This window comes from Homo sapiens, chromosome 19 (genome assembly GCF_000001405.40).
Source record: "Homo sapiens chromosome 19, GRCh38.p14 Primary Assembly".
NCBI classification, from domain to species: domain Eukaryota; kingdom Metazoa; phylum Chordata; class Mammalia; order Primates; family Hominidae; genus Homo; species Homo sapiens.
In genome coordinates this window covers 22275729-22298855 of record NC_000019.10, presented here as the reverse complement: position 1 = coordinate 22298855, position 23127 = coordinate 22275729, and the positions used below count along the sequence as shown (strand labels likewise).

At 39.8% G+C, this 23127-nt stretch overlaps 1 protein-coding gene across 1 annotated transcript in view; it reads right to left on the bottom strand.

The window, feature by feature from the left end:
* Positions 1-12415, bottom strand: part of ZNF729 (zinc finger protein 729) — a 30736-nt gene extending 18321 nt beyond the window's left edge. Inside the window, exon 1 of the mRNA NM_001242680.2 lies at positions 12301-12415. Coding sequence (NP_001229609.1) covers positions 12301-12330 — 30 coding nt within the window. The 5' untranslated portion in view covers positions 12331-12415. The remainder of the gene's footprint in view (positions 1-12300) is intronic.
* Between the last annotated feature and the right edge of the window lie 10712 nt (positions 12416-23127).

Genomic DNA, 23127 nt, shown 5'->3' with positions numbered 1-23127 from the left:
TAGCAGCATTCCAACATAGTGAAATGAAAGACGCTATAAATAGGCTGGGCATGGTGGCTCATGCCTGTAATCCCAGCACTTTGGAAGGCCAAGGTGGGCAAACTTCCTGGGCTCAGGAGTTTGAGACCAGCCTGCACAACACGGTGAAACCCCGTCTCTACTAAAAATACAAAAATTAGCCAGGCATGGTGGTGGGTGTCTGTAATCCCAGCTACTAGGGAGGCTGAGGCAGGAGAATCACCTGAGCCCAGGAGGTGGAGGATGTAGTGAGCCGAGACCATGCCATTGCACTCCAGCCGGGGTGACAAGAGCGAAACTCTGTCTCAAAAAAGAAGACACTGTAATTATGCTTACCTATAGTTATCCCTATTAGATAAGTTAATAAACATGTCAGACTAATATCTACTTTAGCAATTTGGTAGTAAATTTTATTTGGATATTAGAAATAAATATCTAAGTATAAATAACTAATGTATTAGATATAAGGCATGTAAGAATTTTTTAAATTGTCTGTAGCCATAATTCAGTTAAAACACTATATTTTTTATATGTATATATACTTTATATGTTTCAAAAGTATGAACAGCAATATTAAAATGACTATTTAATGAGTATTCAGTCAAAGTAAATGTTTTGGCCTTATATTCATACTACTGAAGAAAATGCTGTTTAATTTATATGAATGCAGGTTGTCTACAAACACTACACGTAACTATGCTAATACCTTGTATAATCGGTTTTCTGTCAAAGAAATGTACTCAGTATCTTTCAGCTTTTATCATTCTGTATTGCTAAATTTCATCCTATCTTTGTGCTCAATGTTTTGTGTTTTTTTTTTTTTTTTTTTTTTGAGATGGAGTTTCGCTTTTGTTACCCAGGCCAGAGTGCGATGGGGTGATCTCGGCTCACTGCAACCTCCACCTCCTGGGTTCAAGCAATTCTCTGGCCTCAGCCTCCCGAGTAGCTGAGATTACAGGCATGCACAACCATGCCGAGCTAATTTTTTGTATTTTTAGTAGAGACGGAGTTTCTCCATGTTGGTCAGACTGGTCTCAAATTCCTGACCTCAGGTGATCCGCCCGCCTCGGCCTCCCAAAGTGCTGGGATTATAGGCATGAGCCACTGCGCCCAGCCTTACGTGTTCTTAATATGAGCTTTAATCTAAACAAATCTTTGTCTCCTTTAAAGACCATATATATATATATATATATCTACACCAAAGCAAAAACAAAGCAATGAATCTAAATAAAAAGAATCCTGAGTCACAAAGAATAATAAGAGGTTCATTTTGTTTTAATATGATTTATATATATTTCAAAAAAGTAGAGAAAAATATCTACATAAAATCTAAATGCTTTAAAAAAGATAAGCAAAATATATTTTCTTATTTTCCTATAGGAGAATAAATCCTCTTATTTCTAATTTGTATTTTCTCCTACAAAAGCCAGGTCTTTTGATATATTCTTAAATTCTTGGACATCTGAATTTCAGCAGACACTCAAAATCTAAGGAGTATCCTTGGGCACACTGTGTGCACTTGAAAATATGCTTATGGGAAAAAAAAAAAACAGAAGAGAAAAAGGTGTTATAAAAAATGTATTGGTACACATAAATAAAACAAGTTCTTAGAGACCTAAGAAGAGATGTAGATTCTGACACAATAGTAGAAGGCTAAAAGACCTCACAGATACTATTAGACAGATTATTGAGGCAGAAAATAAACAAAAATATTTAAACCTAAATTCAGCACTTGACCAGAGTCCTAGTAGACATCTACAGAACTCTCCATCTAAAAACATCATAATATACATTCTTCTCATCACCACATGGCACATACTCTCAAATTGACTATACAATCAGAAATAAAACAATCCCCAGCAAATTCAAAAATCCTCAAACCATACCAATCACAAAGACCACAGCTTGACAAAATTACAATTCAATACATAGAAAACCACTTGAAACCATACAATCACATGGAAATTAACCTGCACTTGAATGACTTTTGGGTAAATAATAAAATTAAGGTGGAAATTTAAAAGTTTTTGAAACAAAGATACAACATACCAGAATCTCTGCAACACAGCTAAGGCAGTGTTAACAGGGAAATTAATAGCATTAAATGGTCACATCAAAAACATCTCAATTTAACAACCTAACATCATAAATAAAAGAACGAGAGAAGCAAGAGCAAAGCAACTCCTAAGCTATCAGCAGACAAAAAAAATAAATAAATAAGATCAGAACTGAAGATTTAGATATGAAAAACTATACAAAAGAACAAGAAATCCGAGATAAATCTTTGAAATAAATAAATAAGGTAAATAGCTAGATTAATGAAGAATAAAGAGAAGATTCAAATAAACAGTTAATGACAAAAGAGAAATTATCACTGACCCCATAAAAATACAAATAACTATTGAAGTCTACTATGAACACCTGTCTGCACACAAACTAAAAAACCTAATAGAAATACATAAATTTCTAGACAAATACATTCTCCAAAGACTGAACAAAAAAGAAACTAAATTCCTGAATAGACCAATAACAAATTCCAAAATTGAATAAGTAATAAATAGCCTACCATCCAAAATAAAGCCCAGGATTAGACAAATTTACAGCTGAATTCAACCAGACGTAAAACGAAGGGCCTGAACCATTCTACTAAAACTATTCCAAAATTGAGAAGAAGGGACTCCTCCTTAGCTCGTTATATAGAAACAGCAACATTCTGATGCCAAAACCTGGCAGAGATGAAACAAAAAATAGAAAACTTCAGGCCAATATTCCTGATAAACATTGATGAAAAAATCCTCAACAAAATGCTGGCAAACCAAATCCAGCAGCACATCAAGAAGCTACTCCACTATGATCAAGTAGGCTTTATCCCTGAGATGCAAGGTTGGTTCAACATGCAACAATTAATAAATGTTATTCATCACATAAAGAGAATTAAAGATAAAAACCAAAAAAATTATCTCAATAGATGCAGAAAAAGATTTCAATAAAATTTATCAGCCTTCATGTTTAAAATCCTCAACAAACTAGGCATTCAAAGTACACACTTCAAAATAATGAGTTATCTATGACAAGCCCAAAGTAAACATACTGAATGGATACAAGCTGAAAGCGTTTATCTTTGAAAACTGGCATATCGACTGGGCGCGGTGGCTCACGCCTGTAATCCTAGCACTTTGGGAGGCCGAGACGGGCGGATCACGAGGTCAGGAGATCGAGACCATCCTGGCTAACACGGTGAAACCCCGTCTCCAGTAAAAATACAAAAAATCAGCCGGGCGTAGTGGTGCGCGCCTGTAGTCGCCTGTAGTCCCAGCTACTCGGGAGGCTGAGGCAGGAGAATGGCGTGAACACGGGAGGCGGAGCTTGCAGTGAGCGGAGAAGATTGCACCACTGCACTCCAGCCTGGGCGACAGAGCGACTCTGTCTCAAAAAAAAAAAAAAAAAAGAAAGAAAACTGGCATACCTTCTCTCACCGCTCCTATTTAAGAGAATTGGAAGTCCTGGCCAGAGCAATCAGACAAGAGATAAAATGAAAGGCATTCAAACAGGAAGAAAGGAAGTCAAACTATCCCTGTTTGCAGATGACATAATTCTGTATCTAGAAAACCCTACAGTCTCTGCAGAAAAGCTCTTTAAACTGACAAATCACTTCAGCAAAATTTCAGAATACAAAATAAATGTATAAAAATTGGCAGAATCTCTGTATATTAACAACATGCAAGCCAAAAGCCAAATCAAAAACACAATCCCCTTCACAACTGACACACACACACACACACACACACACACACACACAAATATCTAGGAGTACACCTAACCAGAGAAGTGAAAGATCTCTATGTCAAGAATCACAAAACACTGCTTAAAGAGTCACAGACGGCCAGGCACGGTAGCTCATGCCTGTAATCTCAGCACTTTGGGAAGCCGAGCCGGGTGGGTCATTTGAGGTCAGGAGATCGAAACCAGCCTGGCCAACACAGTAAAACTCCATCTCTACTAAAAACACAAAAATTACCTGGGCATGGTGGTAGGCACCTGTAATCCCAGCTATTCAGGAGGCTGAGGCAGGAGAATAGCTTGAACCCAGGAGGCAGAGGTTGTGGTGAGCTAAGACTGTGCCATTGCACTCCATCCTGGGTGACAGAGTGAGACTCGGACTCAAAAAAAAAAAAAAAAAGAAAAAGAAAAAAAAAAAAAAAGTCCGAGATAACACAAATAAATGGAAAACTATTCTATGCTCATAGGTAGAAAAGATCAAAATGATTAAAATGGCCATAATGCCCAAAAAAAGAAATGATTTAATGCTATTCTTATCAAACTACCAAAAACATTCTTAACAGAACTATAGAAAACTATGTTAAAATTCATATGGAAGGAAAAAAGAGCCCGAGTAGCCAAGGCAATCCTAAGCAAAAAGAACAAAGCTGGAGGCGTTACATTACCTGACTTCAAACTATACAATAGGGCTACTGTAACCAAAGCCGCATAATACTGGTACAAGAAACAGACTCACAGACCAATGCAACAGAATAGAGAGCCCAGAAATAATGCCACACGCCTATAACCAACTGATCTTTGACAAAACTAACAAGAGGAATGTGGGAAGAATTCCCTATTTAATAAATGGTGCTGGGATAAACACCTAGCACTGTGTAGAAAATTGAAACTGGACCCCTTCCTTACATCATATACAAAAATCAACTCAAGATGAATTAAAGCCTTAAATGTAAAACTTAAAATTATAAAAAACCCTTCAAGATAACCTAGAAAATACCATTCTAGACATGGGAACTAACAAAGATTTTATGATGAAAATACCAAAAGTAATGGCAACAGCAACAATTGACAAATGGGACCTAATTAAACTAAATATCTTCTTCACAGCAATGGAAACCATCAACAGAGTAAACACAAAACCTATAGAATAAAATAAAATATTTCCAAACTATGCTTTTGACAAAGGTCTAATATCCAGAATCCATAAAAAACTTAAGTTTACAAGAAACAAACAAACGACCTCCTTAAAAGGTAGACAAAAGGTGGCTGGGCTCCGTGGCTTATGCCTGTAATCCCAGCACTCTCAGAGGCCAAGACAGGTGGATCACCTGAGGTCAGGAGTTTGAGATCAGCCTGGCCAACATGATGAAACCCTGTCTTTACTAAAAATACAAAAAATTAGCCACGTGTGGTGGTGGACACCTATAATTCCAGCTACTCAGGAGGCTGAGGCAGGAGAATCTCTTGAACCCAGGAGGCGGAGGTTGCAGTGAGCCGAGATCACACCATTGCACTCCAGCCTGGGAAACAAGAGCGAAACTGTCTCAAAAAAAAAAAAAAAAATAGACAAAAGGCTAGGAGTGGTGGCTCACGCCTGTAATCCCAGCACCTTGGGAGGCCAAGGAGGAAAGAGCACTTGAGGTCAGGAGTTTGAGACCAGCCTGGCCAACAAGGTTAAACCTTGTCTCTACTAAAAATACAAAAATTAGCAGGGCATGGTGGCAAGTCCCTGTAATTCCATCCACTCAGGAGGCTGAGGCAGGAGAATCGCTTGAACCCAGGAGGTGAAGATTGCCGTTTGCTGAGATTATGCCACTGCACTTTAGCCTGGGCGACAGAGTGAGACTTCGTCTCAATTATAAAAAAAAAGGTAGACAAAAAACATGAACAAATGTTTTTCAAAATAAGATATATATGTGGCTAACAAGCATATGAAAAAAATACTCATCACTAGAGAAATGCAAAGAAAAAACCACAACCAGATTCCATCTCACACCAGTCAAAATGGCTGTTATTACAAAGTCAAAAAATAACATGCTGGCAAGGTTTCAGAGAAACGGCTATGTGCTGCTGGCATGAGTGTAAATTAGTTCAACCATTGTGAAAAGCAGTGTGGCAATTCCTCACAGAACTAAAAAGAGAATTACCATTTGACCCAACAACCTCATAATTGGGTATATACCCAATAAAATATAAATTATTCTGTCATAAAGACACCTGCACATACATGTTCATTGCGGCACTATTCACAATAGCAAAGACATGGAATCAACCTAAATGCCTATCAATGGTAAACTAAATAAAGAAAATATGGTATGATAAGGTGTGGTGGCTCATGCCTGTAGTTCCAGCACTCTGGGAGGCCGAGGCAGGTGAATTGCCTGAGCTCAGGAGTTCAAGACAGGCCTAAACAACATGGAAAAACCCCATCTCAACAAAAAATACAAGAAAAATTAGCTGGGCTTGGTGGCACACACCTGTAGTCCCAGCTACTTGGGGGCTGAGGTAGAAGAATTGCTTGAGCCCAGGAGGTTGAGGCTGCAGTAAGCTGAGATCATGCCACTATACTCCAGCCTGGGTGACAGAGTGAGACCCAGTCTCCAAAAATAAATAAAATAAAAGATTTAATGAAAACAAAATATGGTACATAAACATCATGGAATACTGTGTTGCCATAAAAAGTGAACAAGATTATGTCATTTGCAGCAACATGGATGGAGCTGGAGACCATTATCCTTACAAAACTAATGCAGAAAGAGAAAACCAAATGCATGTTCTCATTTATTAGTAAGAGCTAAATAATAACACATGGACACAAAGAGGGGAACAACAGACACTGAGTTCTAGTTAAGGGTGGAGGATGGAGGACAAAGAGGATCAGAAAAATAATACCTGTGTGGTGCTGTGCTTAATACCTCAATGACAAAATAATCTGCACACCAACCCCCCGACACAATTTCACCTATGTAACAAACCTGCACATGTACCCCTGAATCAAAAATAAAAGTTAAAACAAAAAACTCGCTGGCTGGGCACAGTGGCTCACGCCTGTAATCCCAGCACTTTGAGAGGCTGAGGTGGGCGGATCACGAGATCAGGAGTTTGAGACCATCCTGGCCAACACGGTGAAACTCTGTCTCTACTAAAAATACAAAAATTAGCGGGGCGTGGTGGCAGCCACCTGTAGTCCCAGCTTCTCAGGAGGCTGAGGCAGGAGAATTGCTTGAAACCAGAAGGCTGAGGTTGCAGTGAGCCGAGATCGTGCCACTGCACTCTAGCCTGGGCAACAAGAATGAAACTGTCTCAAAAACAAAAACAAAAACAAAACATAAAAGAACTTTATGGGTTGGGGAGAGGGCAATGCAGGTGGAAGGACTGGTTTGTGCTACAGATAGTGGCCCAGGTGTGACTCTACTCTGATTAATTTCTGGGTCCATGCAGGCAGATGAGATTATGAACAGGTTGTCCAGAACCCCAGGTTGGTGGAGAAAACAGGTTGCTGCTGCAGATTCAGTGTCTGGGGGTTGGGATATGCCAGGAGACTTGTAGACACTTTTGTGAGTTTTTGGCAAGAAACGCTAGGATCAAAAATGCCGTAGTGAAATTGCTGGGGGTGGTACCTATTCCTACGAGGGGTGTGGACAAGTCAATGTCTAGTGGATATGTTTGTAAGAAGGTGGGAATCCTGTGGTGGCAGCAGTGGAAAAAGGGGGTCTGTTATCAGAACTTTTTTACTCTAAGTTTTTATCCTCTCTCACCCCGGGAGGAGATCTGAAATCACAGGATAATGGGCAGTGTGATGGCCTGTGTAGAGAAAAGCAGAGCCTCCCATTCCCAGACACCCAGAGATCCATTCCAGACCAGGCCTCTGTGATATCTTTTATCTGGAACCAAATTTGTAGAGCTTGGTAAACACCAAGCAATTCTCCAACACCAACTCATTGCCTAACATTTGAATTCTGACACCACCCAGAGTCAGCACAGACCCTGATTCAGGGCTCAGTCTCACAACATTGTTCTTACTGCAGATGCCAGTCACAAACCCCATAGACCCATCTGTTTCTGAGCTACCGTTTAAAAACTGGGGACTCTCATAACCTTCTTCAAGTTCAATAATATTATACAGCTACTCACAGAACTCAGGAAAACAACCTAGTTACATTTATCAGTTTATTAGAAAAGATACAATCCAGGAAAAGTCAGAAAGAAATACCCTTCCCATTATGACTTAGATGGTGCTCTTTTCTTACCTGTCACATAGCCAGACACAGACTCTGCACACTGTCTCTTTTTTCTCATTAAAAAAAATAAATAAATCAGCTGAATTTGTTTTCAGTGGTCAACCTAGAATACTTCTTAATCAAACATTACTTAAGTTTATTTCCTTTCAACAGCTTTCTGAACTTTAAGCTACCCTCAGTCTGAGTCAACATACAACCCCATTTTATGTAGTTCCTAAGAACATGATGACTTCAGGGTAAAACATTCTCTGATCTAAAATCTCATTCTTTCACCCTCCATTTGCCATCCCCTCCCACCTCCTAATACTGTTTGCTCTTCCATATGAAACAAGGCCCTTGTCTGCCTAAACTTTGCAATCCTTGAAGATCTCAGAGTTGGTACTTCGTCCTCTTGCAATACTCTTTTGGAATTCAATTCTTTTTCCAACATAAATCTAACTTTGTTTTACTTTACAAAGTCTAGAAACTACCACAAAACAATAACAATTTCATCTTCAGTAAGACCCTCCCAATCCCCTTTCATCTTAACCTTAACTGCATCTGGCTGTGGGTCCCCAACTTTCCAAGGCTATGTAGTTTCTCTCAGGATAAAGGCGTCTTCCATGGCTGGGGTGAGCAGGCTGGAATATCTGCAGAGAAGACTCCCCAGAAAAAACTAAGTGGTCCTTTAATAACTTCCTTTTGCAGGCTCAGTATTAGCCTTAGCTTAGAGTCACTAGGCTCAGGCTTTAATTTTCATGTCAGAGTTATTCATGTGGTTTTTGAAAGTAAGTGTTTGAAAAATTCAGCAGAATTACTCTAACACAGTGTACATGTAAGGGAAGAAAATTTTAAGGTGCTTACATTTTATGTCTCAGTAAGATAAGCAAAAGTATCTATTCCTTTCAGACAATAAATATTATTTTACTATTTCCATTAAAAATCATGTAGTAAACAGTCATATGGGAACACTTCTAGAGGGTACAAAGTTTCAGCTCATAAAATTTAGCATGAAACTCAGACAGCAATATAACAGGATATAGAATAGAGATATTCACGGTTACAAATTTACCCTGCAAAAAGAGGAACTGATGTTTTCATGAATCTACATAACTCACCAATTACCTACCATATTTTCTTGTGGAAATGTGTGCATTTTCTGAAGCCAAAATGGAAGAGAGATTTTTCCTATTTTTTTCCCTGGTAGCATTCTAAAAGTTAAGCCTTGAAATTGTTTAAAAACACCCAGCCATAAAAAACAAACCAGAGAAAATTCCTAAACTCATTCTGAGAAAAGGGTAAATACAAATTTTTGCCGGGCGCAGTGGCTCACACCTGTAATACCAGCACTTTGGGAGGCTGAGGCGGGTGGATCATAAGGTCAGGAGATCGAGACCATCCTGGCTAACACGGTGAAACCCCATCTCTATTAAAAATACAAAAAATTAGCCGGGTGTGGTGGCGGGCGCCTGTAGTCCCAGCTAGTCAGGAGGCTGAGGCAGAAGAATCACTTGAACCTGGGAGATGGAGGTTGCAGTGAGCAGAGATTGCGCCACTGCACTCCAGTCTGGGCGACAGAGTGAGACTTGGTCTCAAAAAAAAAAAAAAAAATTAACAAATGGAATATATAATTAAATATTAATTTTATTCTGAAATCCATCTCTTTTTTGCCCTTGGTAAATATTTTCTTATCTTTCTTTCAATCCCTACTAACAAAATGCAATTCACAGTTAAAAAACTGAGGTCAAAATAAGCGACCAAATCTTTTCAAGGTACAGATGTGTCTGACTCATGTTTCAATCAGGCCATCCAATCACTTGAGAGATTCTCCCACTCCATTCTGCTCACTTAAGTGCCCAATAACCCCTTCTCAGGAGACTCTGAATTAAGCCCCAGTGAGTGCCCCAGATGTATTTTACTTTGCAAGTTCTTACACCATCTCACTGGATCACTGTTTTTTTTTCTTTTGGGATATTATTTTTGATTTCAAAGATTCGCACTATTTTTCTTTCACTATTTTTTCATTATATTTCTTTCCCTATTGTTTTGCCCCCTTAGAGAATGCAGGGGGCAGAAATTATTTCAATGCTTTTTCCCGCAATACCAGCAACTGATTGGCTGACCAGCAAGAAATGGAAGCTGGGTTGGGTCTTCAATAATTGGAAGCTGGGTTGGGTGAAGACAATCTTAATGTCTCAAGGGTTAGCTTTTCAAAGGAAGAGTATGCCAGGAGATTCCTCTCAATTCCAGGGCATCCGCCTGCTTCCCTGAAAGGCTACACTCCATACCTCAGATTGTCCCATGGGAGAAAATGACCAGGAGCTGATATTCACTAGACACTCTAGCAGACATAGCCATGGGGGGTATTTTAGTTAATTCCCAGACAGTACTGAAACCCAGGACCAGGAAAAAAATCTGAAGAATGGCTGAAAACACATCACTCCATAAAGTTTCCAAAGGAAAACATTTACCCCCGAAACATTCTGATAAAATCTGTGGGCCTAGGAGGAAAAAAAAAAAAAAAAACAGTACAAAGACTTTTTACAACGCAGTGTCAGGGGATAATTTTTTGCTTTCTTCTCATAGGAAATATTTACAAACAGAAAACAAATATTAGGAAAAGTGCCATCCAATGCTTTGTTAAAAAATAATTAAAACATGGTATCAAAAATGTACACTAAAGGACAAATAGTAGGCTGGGCACGGTGACTCACGCCTGTAATCCCAGCACTTTGGGAAGCTGAGGCGAGCAGATCACAAGGTCAGGAGTTCGAGACCAGCCTGGCCAACATAGTGAAACTCTGTCTCTACTAAAAATACAAAAAGTAGCCAGGCATGGTGGCACATGCCTGTAGTCCCAGCTACTCAGGAGGTTGAGGCAGGAGAATTGCTTGAACCCGGAAGGCGGAGGTTGTGGTGAGCCAAGATCAGGACACCACACTCCAGGTTGGGCAACAGAGCGAGACTCCATCTCAAAAAAAAAAAAAAAGGACAAATAGTAATGTGAATCAGAGAGGAAAAAATTGACATTTGGGAAGGTAACAATGAACTGGAAATTTTATATTTTACTGCAAGCCAGAGATAGGCTGCAGGAATGGGGGTTTGGGAGTACACATAATACTCTCCTTGGGATACCTGTAAAAAATGCAAGGGAAAAAAAAAAAAATCAGTCCTCCGAGGAGTGTGAAAATAATTAAGAATAATTAAGTGGCAGGCAATTAGACTGAGGTGGCTCTAGTCCCTGATATCTACTTTTTAAAAAATCTAATTCGGCCGAGCGCAGCGGCTCACACCTGTAAACCCAGCACTTTAGGAGGCCGAGGAGGACGGATCACCTGAGGTCGGGAGTTCGAGACCAGCCTGACCAAAATGGAGAAACCCCCGTCTCTACTAAAAATACAAAATTAGCCCGGCGTGGTGGCACATGCCTGTAATCCCAGCTACTCAGGAAGCTGAGGTAGGAGAATCGCTTGAACCCGGGAGGCGGAGGTTGCACCGAGAGGAGATCGCGCTATTGCACTCCAGCCTGGGCAACAAGAGCAAAACTCCGTCTCAAAAAAAGAAAAAAAAAAATCTAATTCAAGTGCATTTTTTTTTTTGTAAATTATACATTGGGGGAAACAAAACTCAGGCTTAACCAACTATAAACTACAATTAACCTCTGATTATATAAACGGGAAATTTCCATCTTGATTGTACAAACTGAGAAACTACGTAACTGTACATAACCAATTACTGAATTTGGTTTTCTTCATTGTGCACCTTAAAAAAATCTTTCCGTCAAATCCCTTCCATAGACCATAAACTACAAACCATAGCTGGGTGCTCTACAATTTTTGAATCACTTTGATTAAATTATTTATTACTTTAGTGGTGACCGCCATAAATTTTTAACAGAAGAAAAGAGGGACTGGAAACCTCACTGGACCAAAGCTCTTCCCATTCATGAACCCGCATCCGGAGTCAGGATTCTCCCCTGACGCCCCTCCCGTGGTCCCTGCACAATCTCGGAGAGACGCGGCCATGCGGGTGCAGAGCGGCCCAGAGAGGGCTCCAGGCCAGGGCACAGTCACAGCGCATGGAGGAGACAGGTCGCCCAGGGTCCCGCAGTCAGCGCATTCGCCATCTTATGGCTGAAGGAGACTGAGGCCGAGATGGGAAAGAACTCCAGGCGCAGATTGTGGAGCTGACTGCGGGGAGGCCGGAGTCCCGCCACAGCCACTTCCCACCGGTTCCAATCAGCCCCTTCCCCTTCTCGGGATGTCGGACCCGGCACTCTCACCATTTCTAGGCTGCCAGGGGCACCTGGCATGTTAGCTGTGGATCTTCCAATGCCGCAGGTTACAGGGCCACAGAGGCTGAGGACACACAGCAGTGAAGGCGAGACCGGGAACTGCGGCTGCAACCAGAAACAACGGCCCCGCCACATCTCGGATGCCGCCTTTTCCGCTCCAGCTGCATGCCTGATTGGACGGTTCCTAGCCCAGAGTCCCTGATTGGATAATTCTTAAATCCCCGCCTCCTCAGATCCTGAGTGACAAAAGATGTGATCAGATGCTGGACAGAATGAAGACTGATAGGCCGCGCGGTGGCTCGCGCCTGCAATCCCAGCACTTTGGGAGGGAAGCCCAAGCGGGTGGATCACCAGAGGTCAGGAGTTGGAGACCAGCCTGGACAACATGGCAAAACCTCGTCTCTACTAAAAATAAAAATTAGCCAGGCGTGGTGGCGGGCGCCTGTAATCCCAGCTACTCCGGAGGCTGAGGCACGAGAATCACTTGAACTCGGGAGGCAGAGGTTGCAGTGAGCCGAGATCGCACCACTGCACTCCAGCCTGGTTGACAGAGAGACAGTCTGTCCCCCGCCCCCCCCCCCAAAAAAAAGTAAAGAGTGACAGTCTAGGCTGCAGCCTTTTCAGGCAGGGCTTCTTCCCTGAGCTAAGTAAGCCAGGCCAACCCCAGAGGGTATTTGCATTTAACCTTTTGTATAAGGTCATATTCTTTCGTAAATAATGTATTATATGGTTATACACAAATGAAAAGAATATAATAAAAATTATCTAAAAATTTCTGATTTTATGACCTCCCTGACTTCTGTTTTTTCCATCAGATTGCCTGAGATTTTAAAAAGAAGGCAATCCTCTGAAATAAAATGTGAGCTACATGTGAATTTTAAATTTTCTAGTAGCCAAACTTTAAAAAGAAAAACAAACAAAAAATGCGGTATTTATTGTAGCAATTTAATTAAACCAGTATATCCAAAATATTATCATTTTAATATGTAAGCAAAATGTAAATTATAAATGAAGTGTAGATATTTTTTGGAACTTCATCTTTGAAACTAACTCTGTATTTTACCTTTCCAGCATATCACAGTTTAGACCAGCCACATTCCAGGCACTCAGTCGCCACACATGGCCAGTAGCTGCCACATTGAAGTGCAGCTCTGACCTCGGGAGCGAAGGGCCTGAAAAAACTTTTCTGCCAAAGCTGAAAAAAGAGCCTTTCCCTACCAACATTTCTCTTCAGCTCTGAGGGAGGAACAGATAGTAGCCATAGAAAAATCAGAGGACAGCAAGAAAAAAACAACCACAGGTAGACCACTGCTGGCCACCCATTTTCCACCTTTCTTCCAGAGATCAGAAGGTGAACAAAGGATGATAAGGCCACAGGAGAAGAAATCTCTATGTCTTCAAACCTGTGCACAGTCTTGACCTCCAATGTTTAGATATGAAGAAAACAGATTAAAGGCAAACTTACTTTTCTATTTGTCCTTGGCCCTAATGTCAGGCCGTGGTTATCTGTTTTCTCCTGTGGTATGGGGGACTGTGTGAGTATAGGCACCAATTACATGCATACATATCCATATATATTTCTGCATTACTCAGCATTCTCTTACTTGGCATCCAACTTCAAATCAGGGGGAAAAATCAGTACCTATAGGGTGCCCACTGTTAGAAGAGAACTAGTAATCAACTTGTCAATGAATCCTGGCATCCTGTCTGCACTGGGTGCATGTATTAATTAGCTATTGCAGCATAACAAATCATTCAAAACTTATTTGCCCATAATTGAGATGGTCAGCTATTTAGGCTGGGCTCAGTGAGGCTGTTCTTTTTGTCTCAGCTGAGCTCCTCCAGACATGTATCTTCAGCTGTTTGTTGAATAGGCAGCTGTGCTTCTGGGGATGAGCTTCTGCTTCTGGGGCTGTCAACAGGGGCACCTTGCTTCTCCTCCCCATGGTATCTTATCCTCCAGCTTGCTAACATCGGCCATTTTTCATGGAAATGGTAGCATTCTGAAAGAAAAACAGAAGCATTCAAGACCTTTTGAGCTGAAGGGGTGGGTTGCCCCTCCACACCTGTGGGTGTTTCTCGTAAGGTGGAATGAGAGACTTAGGAAAGAAAAAGACACAGAGACAAAGTATAGAGAAAGAAATAAGGGGACCCGGGGAACCAGTGTTCAGCATATGGAGGATCCCGCCAGCCTCTGAGTTCCCTTAGTATTTATTGATCATTCGTGGGTGTTTCTCCGAGAGGGGGATGTGTCAGGGTCACAAGACAATTGTGGGGAGAGGGTCAGCAGACAAACACGTGAACAAAGGTCTTTGCATCATAGACAAGGTAAAGGATTAAGTGCTGTGCTTTTAGATATGCATACACATAAACATCTCAATGCTTTACAAAGCAGTATTGCTGCCCGCATGTCCCACCTCCAGCCCTAAGGTGGTTTTTCCCTATCTCAGTAGATGGAATGTACAATCGGGTTTTATACCGAGACATTCCATTGCCCAGGGACGGGCAGGAGACAGATGCCTTCCTCTTGTCTCAACTGCAAGAGGCGTGCCTTCCTCTTGTACTAATCCTCCTCAGCACAGACCCTTTACGGGTGTCGGGCTGGGGGATGGTCAGGTCTTTCCCTTCCCACGAGGCCATATTTCAGACTATCACATGGGGAGAAACCTTGGACAATACCTGGCTTTCCTAGGCAGAGGTCCCTGCGGCCTTCCGCAGTGTTTGTGTCCCTGGGTACTTGAGATTAGGGAGTGGTGATGACTCCAAGCATCTGTTTAACAAAGCACATCTTGCACCGCCCTTAATCCATTTAACCCTGAGTTTGACACAGCACATGTTTCAGAGAGCACGGGGTTGGGGGTAAGGTCACAGACTCTCAAGGCAGAAGAATTTTTCTTAGTACATAACAAAATGGAGTCTCCCATGTCTATTTCTTTCTACACAGACACAGTGACAATCTGATCTCTCTTGCTTTTCCCCACATGAGCCTAGGCCTCAAACTGTTACATTGTCATGTTCACAGGTTTCTACTGCCCTGAGTGAATAAGGCCAGCAAAATCTAGGGTTTGGAAAACATCCTGGATCTTGATGGGAACAGCTTTAAAAGCACCTGGCAATGGGCATGGATACAGAAAAAACTAGAAATTGCTACCATTTTTGAAATCAGTGTCATTCTGCTTTTTTTTTTTTTATTTTGCATATGTGGTTTATAGAACTCTTTCACATCAAGAATCTTGTCCAAAGACACACAGCTACTAAGTGGCTGGGCTGAGACTCAGGATCAACTCTGTCAGACTCCAAAGCCCATCCACCTCCATAGATGACACTACTAAAGTAGCTGCCCTAGACCCTTGAAATCCTGGAGAGTGACACTTCTACGATAGAGGCCAGATTCCTTTTATTTTAGTTTTATTAATCTATTTAACTTCTTTTGAGATGGGGTCTCACTCTGTCACCCAGGCCGGAGTGCAGTAGTGTAATTTTGGCTCAGTGTAACATCCTCCTCCCATGTTCAATTAATTCTCCTGCCACAGCCTTTCAAGTAGCTGGGATTTCAGGTGCTTGCCATCACACCTGACTCATTTTTGTATTTTTAGTAAAGACAGGTTTCACCATGTTGGCCAGGCTGATCTCAAACTCCTGACCTCAAGTAATCTGCCTGCCTCGGCCTCCCAGGGTTCTGGGATTACTAGCGTGAGCCACTGCAGCCAGCCTACATTCCTTTTACATTTGTGCCAATATAGTACTGTTTATCATTGGGAATAATCCTGTCAAGAATTTGCAGAAGTGCACAGTGGCTCACACCTGTAATCCTAGCATTTTGGGAGGCTGACATGGGAGAATAACGTGAGCTCGAGTTCAAGTTCAGCCAACATAGTAAGAATCTGTCTTCATGAATAAAAATTTAAAAATTAGCCAGACATGGTGGTGCATGCCTGTAACCCCAGCTACTCAGGTGGCAGATGCAGAAGCAGAAGGATCACTTCAGCCTGGAAGGTCAAGCTGCAGTGAGCCATGTTTGGATACACCACTGCACTCCAGCCTGGGTGATAGAGTAAGACCTTGTCTCAGAAAAAAAGAAAGAAAAAGAAAGAAAGAAATTGCAGAAGGATTTTAAAAAGACAAAGAATACTTTATATTTGTAGGTGATGGATAAGTTTAGAAAATCAAATGCCAACAACAGATTATTTATTTTTCATCATAGAATAAAATGGAAAACTTTTAAAATGAAAATACTGTAGAAAAATTAAATTTAAAGAGTTTAAATGGGCAAAGAATGATTTGCAAATTGGGCAGCCTGTGGAGCCAGAGTAGGCTCAGAGAGACTGCAGCATAGCCACATGGTGGAAAAAGATTTATGGACAGAAAAAGCAAAGTGACATACAGAAAATGGGGGTGAGATACAGAAACAGCCAGATTGATTACAGCTCGAGATTTGCCTTACTCGAACATGGTTTAAACAGCTGATGTCCTTTTATTGCCAAAAACACAGTAGTTGGTACAAGAGTGGGTTACAGTCTATTTACATATCAAGTTAGGTTTCAGTTTGCTATGTACAGAGAACCTATTGACAAAAATTAAACAGAAAAGAAGGCAGCTTTAGGCTATAATTGATTTAATAATTTCTCCTTTTTGGTCATCTTCCCAATTTTGAGAGACAGACCCAAACTTTAGACATTGATAGCATCAGTTACCATCAAAAGTATACTTATTTAGTCTCAAATCCCACTGTGAAATAGCAGAACTGTGGGTTTTGTAAAGTAAAAACAAGGACTTCAGGTTATTATTTTTAAAAAGAATTACAGTAGAAAGGAACTCCTTGTGTTAAAATCTGCTGTTTACAGAAGAAAACAAAACCCGAACTGCTTTAGGATCACCTATTTCCTTACATTTTTAGTTTATATCACATTTAGCATGAGTGACTCCACAGAATAATGGATTTTTAAAAAATTATCAGATAATTTCCTCATGCTTTTTTCCAGATGATTTTATTCTCTACCAGAGGTGTTTTTCTTTTTAATCATTGGTTCATTTTGCTTGACATCATACAATACGTATTATTTTATTTCAAGCTTGTCTTATCTGGCAGGTTTATGAGATATATCCAGGTTGTGTGATTTAGTAGTTCATTTTTTTCTATGGCTGGGTGGTATTCTCTTGTATGAATGAGATATAATTTGTTCATCTATATTTCTAGCGATGGATATTTAGGCTGTTCCCTGCTTTAAGCTATTATGACTAAAAGCTCTATAAACATTCTTGTACAAATACTTTTTGGTATATAATTAAATTCCTTTAATAGCATTTAAGTGACACCTCCTTACATTTCTTAGTGGTTTCTCCAGGGATAACTATATGCATTTGTAACATATCACAATCTACCTAGAGTTTATACTGTACTATTTTAATAAATGTAAAATATGAAAACCTTGCTGTTGAAGAGTTACAATTACTTCCTTCTATTGTTTGTGCTATTCATATATTTTACATCTACACATATATCTCACAATACTGTGTTATAATTTTTCCTTAGTCATAAGTCTTATAAAGAAATTGAGAGGAAATAGTATTTATAAATATTTGGAGGTAGATACTTTGGGGCTATTACTTTGGGGCTATTTATAAATATTTGAGGCAGATACTTTGGGGCTAACAGAAACACTGTTTCTCCTTTAAATTTTATCCACAATGTTTGCATTTTTAAGTACATCTTGTCTACAGTAATTATTACTGTGGTGTCTTAGTGGTGATTTTCTATTTTGCATTATCTTCTACATTGATTAGTATACTTGGAATTTTCTAAAGAAAATTTTTTTCTTTTTTCTACTGCTTTCTTTCTTTCTTTCTTTCTTTCTTTCTTTCTTTCTTTCTTTCTTTCTTTCTCTTTCTCTTTCTCTCTTTCTCTTTTTGAGATGGAATTTCATTCTTGTTGTCCAGGCTGGAGTTTAATGTCGTGATCTCAGCTCACTGCAACCTCCACCTCCCAGGTTCAAATGATTCTCCTGCCTCAGACTCCCAAGTAGGTGGGATTACAGGCATACACCACCACGCCCGGCTAATTTTGCATTTTTGGTAGAGACGGGGTTTATTCAAGTTGGTCAGGCTGGTCTTGAACTCCCAACCTCAGGTGATCCACCCTCCTTAGCCTCCCAAAGTGCTGAGATTACAGGCATGAACCACGGCGACTGGCCTTCTTTTTTTCTTATTTGTATTTTTCTCTATCTTTATGGATTCATGGATTTTTTTTTAATTCTCTGGGTGTTAATCCAATGCTAATAATGTTTATTGTGTTTTTCACATTTTTCCAGCTTGGGCTCCTGGGAAGTCTTTCAGGTTGACTTTCTCTGACATGGCTGCTTCTGTTGTTCATAAAGCACTTTAAACTTTTTAGCTTAACAATACTCTACCTTAACTTGGATTTTCCACTCCAGTGCTAGAATTGTCTATTATTACAAGTAGTCTTGCTTTTTTTGTTGAAGAATAGTACTTAGAAACCATGATATGAGAGCTAGGTGTGCCCATTAATATTGGGGTGTCACTGCTTCTGCAACCTCTCAGCAAACAGAGTTTGGAAAGGTACATATTAATATTGACTCCTGTATGAACACATCTCTCTCTTTCTGTCTCTCTCAATAGATATGTTATGATACATGCATTTATCAAAATATTCTCAACTCCATTCTAGAATTCTCTTTTTTTTCAACTTCAGAGAGATGCAGGCACTAATTATATTTATTTATGTATATATATATATATATATATACATACTAACATATAGAGTGCTTTTAAAAATTGCTAGTCTATATGCTTATAGACAAGCAATACATACCAGAACACAATGTTTGTGTTCAGTTCTTGAGTCTTGCAGTATTTAATCAAAATAGTGTTATTCAAAGTGATTTACACCAAGTCCTTTCATTCCAACCTTCTTCAATAGGGTTAGGTGATACATTTCTAGTAAGGGTGAACTCTTCTTTTTACTCCCTGCATTTTATCTGAATTTTCCCCCAATCCTTGTTTTTTCTAATTTTCAGAGAGGAAAATTTATTCTTTGTGATGTACAGTTCCATAGGTTTTGAAAACTGTCTAGAGTCACATAGCCATCTTCACAGTACCACACAGAACTGTTTCATTGCCCCCAAAATTATCCGATGCCTCCTATTTGTAGTTAAGTCTACCCTCATCTATTCTTTGGCAATCAGTGATTATTCTCTTTTTATTCTTCTTCTTTTGTAGGAAGGTCTTTCTATGTTGCCCAGTCTGTTCTCAAAATCCTGGGCTCAAACAGTCCTCTCACCTCAGCCTCCCAAAGTGCTGAGATTATACACTTGAGCCATCAAGCCTGGACTGATTATTATCAATCCTTATAATTTTATTTTTCTACAATGCCATATACTTGGATTATATAATCTGTAAACTGGATTTTACTTTCTTCAATTAAAGAAATGCATTTGTGACTCATCTATACTGTGATGTCGATCAATAGTTTTTTTTTTTATTGACAACTAGGATTCTATTGTAGGTATGCACTGGTTTGTTTATTCATTCACCTGTTGAAAAGCATCTAGTTTACATCTAGCTTTTTGCAATTACAAATAAAGTGAGCAATAGACATCCATAAAAAGTTTCATTTCAGCATTAGTTTTCAGTTTACTTTAGTAATGACCTAGCAGTGGGATGTCTTGGTAACATAATAAGTGTATACTCAACTTTATAATAAGCCACTAAACTATTTTCCAAAGCTACTCTACCATTTCATATTTCTAGATCTATTTAATCCAAATTTTCATTGACGGTCTTTGAAATTTTTCTTTTCATGATTGCCATTATCATAATTGTGTGCTATCTCATTGTTATTCATGCTTTATTTTTTTCCATTTCTGTTGGGAAACCTGAATTTTATAATCAATGCAGAAAGAAATGTATAAAATGCTTAGGGATTAGCCTTGGATTCTGGAAACTGACTTCCAGAAATCTGCTATGCAATTAGAGCTTTACAAACATTAAAAAAAAATTATAGTTTATTCTCTGTGGTTTTCTTTTTCTTTCTTTCTTTCTTTTCTTTTTTTCTGAGACAAGGTGTTGCTCTGCTGCCCAGGCTGGAGTCCTATGGCACAATCTCCACTCGCTGCAACATCTGCCTTTCGAGTTCAAGCGATTCTCATGCCTCAGCCTACCGAGAACCTGGTGTTACAGGCAAATGCCACCATGCCCAGCTAATTTTTGTATTTTTAGCAGAAACAGGGTTTTGTCATGTTGGCCAGGCTGGTCTCAAACTCCTAACCTCAAGTAATCCACCTACCTTGGCCTTCTTTTTCTTTCTTTCTTTTAAGAAAGATTCTCTCTCAGCCAGGCAGGAATGCAGTGGCATGACTGCAGCTCACTGCAGCCTCAACCATCTGGGCTCAAGCAGTTTTCTCATCTCAGCCTTCTGAGTATCTGGGACCCCACTCATGTGCTACCATGCTCAGCTAATTTATTACTGTTATTTTTAGAGGTGAGGTCACACTATGTAGACCAGGCTGGTCTCGAACTCCTGAGCTAAAGTAATCCTCCCACCTTAGCCTCCCAAAATGCTGGAATTACAGGCAGGTGCCATCACATCCACATTGATGTTTTATTTTGTATATCAAAATATGAAAAATAGCATTGATGTCCATAAATAGACTCCAAGAAAATGTTATACATATTAAAAAAGTAATTTCCAAAGCAAATACTAAAATTGAAAGCAATTGAAATAAATAAAAATGACTAAATAAGATATAGATAATATGACCAGAAAGAGAGAAGGTTAGTTTTTCTGACTTTATTTTTTTCCAGCATCATTTATTAAATAGGGAATATTTTCCCCATTGCTTGTTTCTATCAGGTTTGTCAAATACCACATGGTTGTAGACGTGTGGTCTTATTTCTGAGGTCTCTATTTTGTTTCACTGGTCAATGTGTCTGTTTTTCTTTTTACCAGTACCATGCTGCTTTGGTTACTATAGCCTTGTTGTATAGTTTGAAGTCAAGTAGCATGATGCCTCTAGCGTTGTTCTTTTCACTTAGAATTTTCTTGGCTATACAGGCTCTTTTTTGGTTCCACATGAATATTAAAGTAGTTTTTCCTAGTTCTGTGAAGAACATCAGTGGTAGTTTGATGGGAATAGCACTGAATGTATAAATTACTTTGGGAAGTACAGCCATTTTCATAATATTGCTTCTTCCTATCCATGAGGATGAAATTTTTTCCATTTGTTTTTGTCCTCTCTTATTTCTTTGAGCAGTAGTTTGTAGTCCTTTTTGAAGAGGTCCTTCACATCCCTTGTTAGCTGTATTCCTAGGTATTTTATTTTCTTTGTAGCAATTGTGAATGGGAGTTCATGCATGATTTCACAATCTGCTTGTTTATTGTTGGTACTTGTGATTTTTCCACATTGATTTTGTATCTAGAGACTTTGCTGAAGTTGCTTATTAGCTTAAGGAGCTTTTGGGCTGAGACAATGGGATTTTCTAGATATAGCATCATGTCATCTGCAGAGACAATGTGACTTCCTCTCTTCCTATTTGAATACCCTTTATTTCTTTCTTTGACCTGATTTTTCTGGTCAGAACTTAAAATACTACGTTGAATAGGAGTGGTGAGAGAGGGCATTTTGTCTAGTGCTGATTTTCCAGAATTCTTCCAGGTTTTGCCCATTCAGTATGATATTGGCTGCGGGTTTGTCATAAATAGCTCTTATTATTTTGAGGTATGATTTTTCAATACTTAGTTTATTGAGAGTTGTTAACATGAAGGGATGTTGAATTTTGTTTGTTTGTTTGAGACAGAGTCTCACTCTGTTACCCAGGCTGGAATGCAGTGGCATGGTCTCAACCCACTGCAACCTCTGCTTTTTGGGTTCAAGGGATTCTCTTGCATCAGCCTCAGAGTAGCCTCCAGAGTAGCTGGGATTACAGGCCCCCACCGCCATGCCTGGCTAATTTTTGTATTTTTAGTAGAGATGGGGTTTCACCATGTTGATCAGACTGGTCTCAAACTCCTGACCTCGTGATCCACCTGCCCCAGCCTCCCAAAGTGCTGGGATTACGGGATTACAGGTGTGAGCCACCGCGCCCAGCCAAGGAATGTTAAATTTTATTGAAGACTTTATTATTAGTATTATTATTTTATTTTTTTGAGAGGGAGTCTTGCTCTGTCACCCAGGCTAAAGTGCAGTGGCACAATCTCAGCTCACCACAACCTCCACCTCCTGGGTTCAAGTGATTCTCCTGCCTCAGCCTCCCAAGTAACCAGGATTACAGGTGCACACCACCACCCCTGGCTAATGTTTGTATTCTCAGTAGAGATGGGGTTTCACCATATTGGTCAGGCTGGTCTCGAACTCCTGACCTCATGATCCACCCATTTCGGCTTCCCAAATTGCTAGGATTACAGACGTGAGCCATCATGCCCAGCCCTTACTGAAGACTTTTACTGCATCTATTGAGATAATCATGTGGTTTTTGTCATTGGTTCTGTTTATGTGATAGCTTACATTTATTGATTTGTGTATGTTAAATGAGTTTTGCATCCCAGTGATGAGGCCGACTAGTTTGTAGTGGATAAGCTTTTTGATGTGCTGCTGGATTTGGTTTGCCAGTATTTTATTGAGGATATTCACATCAATGTTCTTCAGAGATATTGGCCTGAAGTTTTCTTTTTTTGTTGTGTCTCTGCCAGGTTTTGGCATCAGGGTGATGCTGGCCTCATAAAACGAGAAGGGAGGAGAGTCTCTCCTTTTTAATTCTTTGGAATAGTTCCAGAAGAAATGGTACCAGTAATATAGCAGT